The sequence below is a fragment of the Homo sapiens genome, chromosome 10 (assembly GCF_000001405.40).
Source record: "Homo sapiens chromosome 10, GRCh38.p14 Primary Assembly".
NCBI classification, from domain to species: Eukaryota; Metazoa; Chordata; class Mammalia; order Primates; family Hominidae; genus Homo; species Homo sapiens.
In genome coordinates this window covers 28,341,663-28,353,989 of record NC_000010.11, presented here as the reverse complement: position 1 = coordinate 28,353,989, position 12,327 = coordinate 28,341,663, and positions in this window count along the sequence as shown.

The window sequence follows — 12,327 nt, the reverse complement described above, 5'->3', positions numbered from 1 at the left end:
AATATCAGAAGGTGGGCCTTCTGGATATGGAAGGGATCATAGAAGGAGCTTTGCTAGAACAAGGTCTAATTGCAGAATGGAGACCATGAATGGAGTAGGCTAAGAAAGAAACGGAGAATTGGGTAATTAGAAGAGGGAATAGATGCCCTGCTGGGGAATGTGGTTCAATAATTCAGGAGAAATGGGCCAGGTGCAGTGGCTCATGCCTGTAACCCTAGCACTTTGGGAGGCTGAGGTGAGAGGATCACTTGAACCCAGGAGTTCAAGACTAGTCTGGGCAACATAGGGAGACCCCATCTCTACAAATACATATTTTTAAAAAATTAGCCAGGCATGGTGGGACATACCTGTGGTCCAGCTACTGGGGAGGCTGAGGCAGGAGGACAACCTGAAGCCAGGATGTTGAGGCTGCAGTGAGCTGTGATGGCACCACTGTGCTCCAGCCTGGGTGAGAGAGGGAGACCCTGTCAAAAAAAAAAAAAAAAAAAAAAAGAAAGAAAGAAAAAGAAAGAAAGATGTTTCCCAGAGGAGGCTAGCAGATTAACAATACAACATAAAGCATCACATGGAAAGACGGAGAATAAAAAGCCTGTATGATCACAGAGCAACATGCTGTTAGAAGAAATAAAATTAGTCAGCCTCCTTAATACCTCTCTAATTCATACACTTCTCTAATGTCCTCAGGTTTTTCTATTTCTTTCTTTTTTTTTTTTTTCAAGAGACTGGGTCTCACTATGGTGCCCAGGCTGGATTCAAACTCCTGGGCTCACGCAATCCTCCTGCCTCAGCCGCCTGTGTAGCTGGGACCACAGGTGCACACCATTGTGTTCAGCTTTTCCACTGTACCCCGCTTCAAGTTTTTCATCTGTAAACAGAAATGATAATAATAGTACCCTGCTACACACACACATACACAGTTAGAAGATAATTGACATAATGAACATAAAGCCTTTGGTGTACAGTAGGAACTCAACATGTGTTCCATTGTAAACCCGCAGGGTCTGTTTGGGCTGTTTACTATTGAATCTCCAGTGCTGAGCACAGTGCCTAGCAAGTAATAGGCATTTAAGAAATATTTACGGAAAGGAGGAATGAATGAATGACTCCTTAGAGTGATCCTCATGGTTCAGATTCTTAGCATTAATTTTAGGTTGTTGCAGCATCCTTCTTAGGGGTCTTCTTGATGCTAATCTTGCCCTTCTCTAATCTATTTTCCAAAATGCCCATAGAGTTTTGGAAAATGCAAATCTGATCGTGTAATTTTTTTGGCTAATTCTTAAGAGGTTTTCCATTGCACCCCAGAGAAAACCTAATCTTCTTAGCATGGTTTAGGATGTCTTTCAGCTTTGGCCAATGTTCACTTCTCTTTCTCCAGAAAATCCTCTAAGAGCCTGGGGCTCCTTAACATGTGATATTTCTTCCTTCTCAAGGTCTATTGACTGAATTGAATTTTGCTGCCTGTAACACAAACCTAGTTACATAGGCTTAGTCAATTTTTTTCCCCTCACTTAACAAGAAATCTGGAGGTGAGCAGTTCAGAGCTTGTTGAGCTGGGTCTTTAAAATTTTTTTTATTTATTTTTGTTATTTTTATTTATTTATTTTGAGACCAAGTCTTTCTCTGTTGGCCAGGCTAGAGTGCAGTGGCATGATGTCGGCTCACTGCAACCTCTGCCTGCCAGGTTCAAGCGATTCTCGTGCCTCAGCCTCCAGTGTAGCTGGGACTACAGGTATGCACCACCACCTCCAGCTAATTTTCGTATTTTTTTTAGTAGAGATGGGGTTTAACCACACTGGCCAGGCTGGTCTTGAACTCCTGACCTCAAGTGATCCACCTGTCTCGGCCTCCCAAAGTGTTGGGATTACAGGCGTGAGCCACCATGCCCACCCTGTTGAGCTGTTAAAGAAGTTTTAATGGACTCAGAGTCTGTCCAGTCTCTTGCTTACTCTTAAGAACTGCAACCAGCTACATCAACAGTATAGCTATTAGGCTTAAGAACTGAGAACACCTGTGTCAACTTCTGGTAAAAAAAAAAGGGGGAGAGAGAGAGAGAATTTAAGGCTAAAGACTGAGTATGTAAATACCCAATTCAGCATGGCTTAGTTGTTCGTTCTGGGAAATGCCCAATTCAGCACTGCTTAGTTGTTGCCCCAGGAAAAGACTGTAATCAGTAGGTAACTTCACTGTTTGCTGCAGGAAATTTCTGCACATCGCTATATTTGAAGCAGCAGTCTATTCACCTGGGCAAACAACTCACTTAAAACAACGGTTTGCTTACCAAGACTTACTTCAAGACCCTCACCTTGCTATGTGCACCTCTTCTAAGCTATTATGTCCTGAACTTGGCCTGATCTCAATTGGTTCCCTGTCTCTAAAGATCCACCTTAAACCACTTGAGTCTAAACTCAAAATCCTATGTTCTTCTCTGACCTTCCCCTTTGGAGATTCTATGGAGACTGTTGAGGTAGTGTTTTCTCTCTTTTCCTGCAATGAGTTCTGATACATGTAGCTTTGTTTTATTATAGGTTGTCTGGTGATATTTTGGGGGTTTGAGTACTATCTTTAGATGTGGCTTCTGTCCTGTCTTCGGAGATGTCTTTATTCCAGGATCAAAGAAATGGAGACGAGTGAAGGAAAAAACACATGCCAACTCAATCTTCCCTTTTCTTAACAATTGGGATTGTTGAAAAGTGTATACTTCAGTACCACTCTGCTGATAGGAAAACCAAAGTAGTTTACTTTTCTGTTCCGTAAAACAATACACAAGGTAAGATGAGTACTTCTATTTTTTAAATCTTAATATTCTATCAGTGCCTATATATACGGTTCAGAAAAAGGTAGTTGAATAACATAGAAAATTTAGTTTGCATGAAATACCTTCAATGCTGAGCTGCTTGCAACAATTGTCAAAAATAGGAATTCTAGGCTGGGTGCAGTGGCTCACGCCTGTAATCCCGGCACTTTGGGAGGCCGAGGCGGGCGGATCACGAGGTCAGGAGATCGAGACCATCCTGTCTAACATGGCGAAACCCTGTCTCTATTAAAAATACAAAAAATTAGCCAAGCATGGTGGCGGGGGCCTGTAGTCCTAGCTACTCAGGAGGCGGAGGCAGGAGAAGGCAGGAGAATGGCCTGAACCCAGGAGGCGGAGCTTGCGGTGAGCTGAGGTCGCACCATTGCACTCCAGCCTGGTTGACAGAGCGAGACTCTGTCTCAAAAAAAAAAAAAAAAAAAAAAAAAAAAAAATGGGATTCTAAGTGATCCTTTCCTAGGATGGCCTCAGCATATTTCTCAGAAATGGAACAACTGAGGGGGCTGGTTCCATAAAACATGGATGCCAGAGAACTCTGAATTCTCAACTGTGGCTTATTGAGCCTCCCATATTTAAAACTTCTTCCAGTTGCAAATATGACATGTGCTAATGCAAAAATTTATACACTGCAAAATGAAAGCTCCCACTCCCACTGTCAACAGGCCCATCCACCATACCCCTTCCTACCCTAGAGGACTATTAATACTTTGGTTTACAGCCTTTCAGATCACCTTTCCATGCATTTAGGAATCTATGTATATATGAACATAAAAATGTTGTATGTTATATTAATCATATTACATAAAATGTCCCACAAGTTGGTTTGTCTACTGTTTTTTTTAAGAGAGTTTTTTATGTCAATATCCATAGCTGAAATAATGTATTAAAATCACCAAGTAGGTTCCATTGCAGGAGTGCACTCTAACCTGCTTAACTCGGTCTGCTACTTGAGCTATTTCTTCCCCTTCCTCCCCCTTTTCTTCATTTTCTTCTTTCCTTTTTGCTGTTTATTTTATTTTATATTTTTTGAGACAAGGTGTCACTCTATCACCTAGGCTGGAGTGAAGTGACACAATCACGACTCACTGCAACCTTGATCTCCTGGGCTCAGGTGATCCTCCTCCCTCAGCCTCCCAAGTAGCTTTGGACTATAGTTGTATGCCGCCACATCTGCCTAGTTTCTAAATTTTTTGTAGAGGCAAGATCTTACCATGTTGCCTAGGCTTCTTTTTGCTATTACAAGCAATCCTATAACAAACTTCTTTGTAGCTAAGACAAGTTTTAAATAATTTTCGGTTTTTCAGTGTTGGTCAATGCGGTGGGTGAAATGTGGCATCTTGTTTCTTTCATTTGCATTTCCTCAATGAAGAAATAGTTTAGTCTACTGGCCACTCATATTTATTTTGTGAATTGCTTAGACCTGTGCTGTCTAATTTGATTATCACCAGCCAAATGTGGACACTGAGCACTTGAAAAGTGGACAGCCTAAATTGGGTTGTGCTGTCAGTGTAAGATACACAGAAATTTCAACGACTTGGTCTAAACAAAAGATCTCACTAATATTTTTATATTGGTTATCTTAATATCTCATTAATATTCTTATATTGATTACATATCAATGTAATAAGAGATACTGCTTTAAATAATTTTAATGTGACTAATAAAAAATTTAAAATTACATATGTAGCTCACGTGATATTTCTATTGGACAGAGATGACTTAGATTTTTCTTTTAATTGGGTTGATTGTCTTTTTCTTATTGATTTATAAGAGCTCTTGATATTTTGTTAATCCATATTTTTTGACTGCTATTTTTATAGCAAATATTTCTTCCCCATCTGTAACTTATTTTTCACCTTGAATTATGGAGCCTCTTGCCATACAAAGGTTGTAAGTTTTTAAGAATCTGCCCATTGGCTGGGTGTGGTGGCTCACGCCTGTAATCTCAGCACTTTGGGAGGCCAAGGCGGGCCGATCATGAGGTCAAGAAATTGAGACCATCCTGGCCAACTTGGTGAAACCCCGTCTCTACTAAAAATACAAAAATTAGCAGGGCATGGTGGCACGCACCTGTACTCCCAGCTACTCGGGAAGCTGAGGCACGAGAATTGCTTGAACCCAGGAGGCGGAGGTTGCAGTCAGCTGAGATTGTGCCACTGCACTCCAGCCTGGCAACAGAGTGACCATGCCACCATGCCAAAATTACAAAAATAACTTCCTGTGTTTTCTTAAAGTCATTTCTTTCTTTAATGTTTACTTCTTTTAGGTACCTGAGTTTTTTTGTTTGTTTGTTTGGTGTGAAATAGCAGAAGTTTTAAAATTTGTATTAAATTATAGGGTAGGTAGACAAAAGAACACACATCAGATATGTACATAGTTGGATTTTCAGTGAGTGATGGTCATTGGATTGCTTATTCCATATGAAAACCAATTCTCCTAACATCATTTTTTGAGCACTCCTTGCTTTTCCAAATGATGTGAATTGGCTCTTTTCACATGCAGTATAACATTTCTGTAACAAATGAAGCATTTTGAACTCTTCCTCCGTCTCATCAGTATACTTGATTATTCCTGCACCAGACTCTCACTATTTTAATTACCAATATTTTATAGAATGTTCCTATATCTAGGAGATCAAACCTTTTCACAGATTTATTCATAGGAATGGTCTTTTCCAACAAACTTCAGAATCAGTTTACCAATATCCAAATTAAATTCTGTTAGAATTTTGAATGAGATTGCATTGACCATATAGATTACTTTGAGGGAGAATTTACATGTTTGCAATATTACTCCTATGCAGGAACATGATATATCTCTTCATTTATTTATGTCTTTAAAATGTGAATCAATAAAATTTTATATTTATTTTAATATCTGCCTTATGCTTTATGTATTAGGATTTTTCTTAATGATTTTCTTGTTCTTGTTACAAGAAAGAAACATTGATGATGTTGAATTGATTTTTTTAACTCTATGTTTTATAATTATGTTGTATCCAATCAACTTAGTTGAATGTTCTTTTGGTTCTTTAGTTTTTCACTTGATTATTTTTGATTTTCTGGATACACAATTATGTGATGCCATAGAGCTGGCTTATGCCAGTTTATGAGACTTGATTATTAAGTTTTCAGAAATTTTGTGAGGTGGTTGTTAAACATAGCCATTATTAAGAATTAAATTATGTAAATAAACTAAAAAATACATTAGAATGCCAATAATAATTTAAAATAAGCAAAAAATGTTAAAAAAGAGTTAAATTATGTAAACTTACAATTAAATAGATTATATAAAAGACTAAGGTAATAAATGCTCAAAACTCATCATGTCCTAATTGTTTTCTTACATTTTACTATTATCTATGCTCTTGAGGTTATTTATTTCTTCTGTTTCTATATAATGGAAATTCTTTATGACAGTATGCTATTGTGTCTCTTCCAGCTCCACATTCAGTGATGTCCCTCTGGTAGGTTGAAAGCAACCATCACAGGAGTACTGTATTTACACTACAGAAACCAGCAAATGTTACCATTTAGGTCTTGATTTATTGTTTTGTTAACTGTCTAGACTTAATAATGTAATGGAGAAAATGTTAATAATGGAAATTTCTATGGTTTGGACATGGTTTGTGTTTGTTCCCACCAAAACTCATGGTGAAGTTTAATCCCCAATGTGGTGGTGCTGGGGGTCAGGGGATGGGTCCCTCATTAATGTTTTGGTGCCATTCTCACAGTATTGAATGAGTCCTCACTCCAATGAGACTGGATTAGTTCTCGAGGGAACAGAGTAGTTCCCAAGAGAGTGGGTTGTTATAAAGCCAGGATGTGTTTCAGATTTTTGTCTCTCTTCACACATGTCCACTTCCCCTTTGATGTTCTCTACCACGTTATGATGCAGTACAAAAGACCTTGCCAGAAACCAAGGCCATGCCCTTGAACTTCCCAGCCTGCAGAACTGTGTGAGCTAAATAAACCTCTTTTCTCCTCTTTCTTTCTTTCTCTTTTCTCTTTCTTTCTTTCTTTCCTTTCTTTTTTTCTCTCTTTCTTTCTTTTTTTCTTTCTTCTTTTCCCTTTCTTTCTCCTTCCTTCCTTCCTTCATTCCTTCCTCTTTCTTTCTCCCTTTCCTGTCCTTTCCTTTCCTTTCCTTTCCTTTCCTTTCCTTTCCTTTCCTTTCCTTTCCTTTCCTTTCCTTTCTTTCCTTTCTTTCTTCTGTTCCCCAGGCTGGAGTGCAGTGGCATGATCTTGGCTCACTGCAACCTCCACCTCCTGGGTTCAAGCGATCCTCCCACCTCAGCCTCCCAAGTAGCTGGAACTGCAGGTGTGTGCCACCACATCCAGCTAATTTTTTGTAAATTTTTTTTGTACAGACTGGGTTTCAATATGTTGCCCAGGCTGGTCTTGAACTCTGAGGCTCAGGCAATCCACCTGTCTTGGCCTCTCAAAGTGCTGGGACTATAGGTGTGGGTTACCACACCTGGCCAAATCTCTTTTCTTTATAAATTACCCAGTCTCAGATATTTTGTTAGGATGACACAAAACAGACAACACAGAGATTAAACTTGTGAATGTGTCATACCTGTAGTCATTACATTGTGAAAAACACAAAAAATTGAGGAAATAAATACTCTTGAAGTATTCAAAAACGATTTTTCAATTTAACCAAGAAGTTGCTCATATCATTGACCAACAAGTGAAGTTCAGGCAAGTTGTTTCACTTTAATTTCAAGTTGTTCCATTTTAATTTTAAGTTGTTCATATATAAATAAAACCATCAACCAACATTCATACTGGAAACTACACTCAGAACCAGTTGTTTATCATATATCATCATACCACTGATTTTACAGCATATAAATAATGAAAGTCTCTCTTTCAAATATTACATCTTATCTTATTTTTTGCATCTACTGCATCGGCTAGGGCTCTAATACAATGTGGAATAACAGCAGTGTTTCTCGACATTCTTGATTTGATCCTAATTTTAATGTTTCTATTTTGTTATTAAAAATGATGTTGTTCTGGATTTCTGGTAGATATTAGTGAGAGTTCTGGAATTTCATTTGAATACTTTCCTTCCTACATACTAATAGGAAACTTCTGCTGCTGGTTCTAGGAAAATTTCCTATTAAAAAAAATTCTTCCATTTTCTACAATTCTTTATTTTCCTTCCAAATTGTATGAACATATGGATTCCAGAGACCTAGCAACACTTGGCACAACATCACACTTAAACAAAACACCTCTTGTGGCTCCCTGAAAAAACATGCCTATACTCCTTGTTTCTACTCCCTAGCCCATCATTACTCTTATGTCAATTTATGCCACTCTTATGCCATATGTGCTTTTGTTCCCTGTACCCACCCCACACCACTAAAACTCCTCAAGTTGAAGTTATCAGAGACCTCTATTGTGCCAAATCCACTTGGTAATTCACTGTCCTCATCTCAGAGCATTACCTATTATTATCCACTTGACCATCTTTCCTTCAATCCCTCTCTCTGCTTGGCATCTGGGGCATCATGCTCTTTTGGCCTTATTCCCTCTTCATTGGCCACTCCTTTTTAGTTTTCTTTACTTGCTGTGTTGGTCTGTTCTTGTGCTGCTATGAAGAAATACCAGCTCCTGGGTAATTTATAAAGAAAAGAGGTTTAATATGCTCATAGTTCTGCAGGCTGTGCAGGCACGGTGCTGGCATCTGCTCTGCTTCTGGGGAGGCCTCAGGAAGCATTTACTCATGGCGAAAGGCAAAGCGAGAATGGGTGCATCACATGGCAAGAGTAGGAGCAAGAGAGGGAGTAAGAGAGAGAGAAGAAGGAGGTCCTAGACTCTTTTAAACAACCAGATCTTGTGTGAACTGAGCGAGAACCCACTCATCACCAAGGAGATGGTGCTAAGCCATTCCTGAAAGATCTGCCATGTGACCCGATCACCCCCCACCAGACCCCACCCCCAGCACTGGGGATTACATTTCAGCATGAGATTTGGAGGGGACAGACATGCAAACTATATCACTTACTTCTCTTCCTCATTTTTGTCTCTGTATGTGGAAAGTCCTGGTGAGCTTGAGCTTAGTCCTCAGCCCTCTTTTCTACCCAGTTCGATGGCTTCAAGTACAGTTTATTTGCTGACAACTTCTACATTTATGTTTGCCAAACTTCTTTCTAGAGTGTTCAAATACATACTCCTATATCCATTTGGATATCTCAGAGACATCTCAACCTTAATGAAGCCAAAATCATACTCTTAATTCTGAGCCCTGCCTCCAAGTCTACTCCGTTTTCAGCATTCCTTTCTTAGCTAATGACACTATTATTGGCTTATACCACAATCTATAACTCACACAGGATTCTGTTCTTCCTCTCGCTTCCACAGTGGGTTTGTATAAACCAAACCCTACAGCCAAGTAATGTGATACACTTAATGAAGCGTTGGTAGCTATAGCCCCTTGGTCAAATCCAGTTTGCTGCCTGTTTTTGTAAATAAAGTTTTATTGGAAAGCACCATACAATTCAATTGTGTTTTGTCTATAACTTCTTTTGTGCTATAATGGCAGGCTGAGTAGTTGAACAGAGATCATATGGAACAGAGATCAAAAAGCTTAAACTATTTACTATCTTGTGTTCGCTATAGAAAATGTTTGCCAACCCTTCTTTTAATCGGCTGGAATACCGCTGACCCAACCTGAACTATGGTTGGGTCATATGTTTATGTTGCAACATTTATTTGCTGACAACTTCTACATTTTTTGTGACAATGTTTATGTTGAAAGTGTTTCAGTTCTCTGCCATGTTATATCAAACTACCACCACATTTCGTGGCTTAAAACAATCATTTGTTGTTGTTCATGATTTGTAGATTGTAGATCTTCTGTGTCACATGGTATTGGCTGGGGAGCTAGACTTGGTGGTTGGAAGGTCCAGAATTGCTTCACTCCCATGGCTGACAGTTGGTCTCTACCTGGGTCTTAAATGGGGCTGTCAGCTGAAACCCTCATTTTTCTTTGATGTGGATCTCTCCCATGTGACTGCTTGGACTTCCTCAGAATATGTCAGCTAGGTTCCAAGAATGGGCATTCTTAGAGAACAATCACCAATATGCAAATGCTTATGAAGCCTCTGCTTTGCAACATTTAATAATATCAATTTGTGAGGAGGAGGGACTGCTCCTCAACTCATTCTATGAACCAGCATCATCCTGATACCAAAACCTGGCAGAGACACAACAAAAAACATAAACTTCAGGCCAATATCCTTGATGAACATTGATACAAAAATTCTCAACAAAATACTAACAAATAGAATCCAGCAGCACACCAGAAAGCTAATCTAACATGATCAAGTAGGATTTATCCCTGGTATGCAAGGCTGGTTCAACATATGCAAATCAATAAACATGATTCATCACATAAACAGAACTAAAGATGAAAACCACATAATTAACTTAATAGATGCAGAAAAGGCTTTGGACAAAATTCAACATCCCTTCATGTTAAAAACTCTCAACAAACTAGGTATTGAAGGAACATACCTCAAAATAATAAGAGCCATCTATGACAAACCTACAGCCACGATCATATTTAGTGGGCAAAAACTGGAAGCATTCCCCTTGAAAACAGGCACAAGGCAAGGATGCCCTGCTTTATCACTCCTATTCAACATAGTGTTAGAAGTCCTGGCTAGAGCAAACAGATGGGAGAAAGAAATAAAGGGCATCCAAAAAGAAAGAGAGGGAAGTGAAACTATCCCTCTTTGCAGGCTACATGATTCTATATCTAGAAAACCCCATAGTCTTATCAAAAGCTCCCTGAGCTTTTAAGCAACTTCAACAAAATTTCAGAATACAAAATTAATATACAGAAATCACTGGCATTCCCATACACCAACAACAGCCAAGCCAAGAGCCTAATCAGGAACCCAATCCCATTCGCAATTGCCACAAAAAGAAGAAAATACCAGGAATATAGCTAACCAGGAAGGTGAAAGATCTCTACGATGAGAATTATGAAACACTACTCAAAGAAATCAGAGACGACACAAATGGAAAAACATTTCATGCTTATGGTTAGGAAGACTCAATATTGTTAAAATGATCATACTGCCTGCTATTCCTATCAAATTACTAATGACATTTTTCACAGAAGTGGAAAAAATGATTTTAAAATTCATATGGAACCAAAAAAGAGCCCAAATAGCCAAGTCAATCCTAAGCAAAAGAACAAAGCAGGCATCATGCTACCTGACTTCAAACTATACTACAGGGCTACATTAACCAGAACAGCATGGTTCTGGTACAAAAACAGACACATAGACCAATGGAACAGAATAGAGAGCCCAGGAATAAGACCAAACACATATAACCATCTGATCTTCAACAAAGCTGACAAAATAAGCGATAGGGAAAGAACTCCCTATTCAATAAATGGTGCTGGGATAACTGGCTATCCATATGCAGAAGATTGAAACCAGCCCCCTTCTTTACACCACATACAAACATCAACTCAAGATGGATAAAAGACTTAAATGTAAAACCCCAAACTATAAAAACCCTGGAAGACAACATAGGCAATACCATTCTGGACATAGGAAAGGGCAAATATTTCATGATGAAGACACCAAAAGTAATGCAAGAAAAGCAACAATTGACAAATGGGATCTAATTAAACTAAAGATCTTCTGCGCAGCAAAATAAACTATCAACAGAGTGAACAGACAACCTACAGAATGGGAGAAAATTTTTGCAGACTGTATCTGACAAAGGCCTAATATCCAGCATCTACATTGGAACTTAAACAAACTTACAGGAAAAAAACAAATCACCTCATTAAAAAGTGAGCAAAGGCATGAACACTTTTCAAAAGAAGATATACATGCAGCCAACAAGCATATGAAAGAAAGTCACTGATTATTACAGAAATACAAATCAAAACCACAATGAGGTACCATCTCACACCAGTCAGAATGGCTGTTATTAAAAGTCAAAAAATGACAGATGCTGGCAAGGTTGTGAGAAAAGGGAACACTTATATACTGTTTTGGGAGCATAAATTCGTTCAACCATTGTGAAAAGCAGTGTGGCAATCCCTAAAAGGGCTGAAGACAGAACTACCGTTTGACCCAGCAATCCCATTACTGGGTCTATACCCAAAGGAATATAAATCATTCTATCATAAAGACACATGCACGTGCATGTTCATTGCAGCACTATTCACAATAGCAAAGAAATGGAATCAACACAAATGCTCCTCAATGATAGACTGGATAAGAAAATGTGGCACATGTACACCATGGAATACTATGCAGCCATAAAAAAGAACAAGATCATATCCTTTGCAGGAATATGGATGGAGCTGCAGGCCGTTATCCTTAGCAAACTAACCCAGAAACAGAAACAAATAACCACATGTTCTCATTTGTAAGTAGGAGCTAAATGATGAGAACACATGGATACAGCGAGGGAAACAACAGATGTGGGGGCCTACTTGAGGGTGAAGGGTGCGAGGGGGAGAGGATCAGAAAA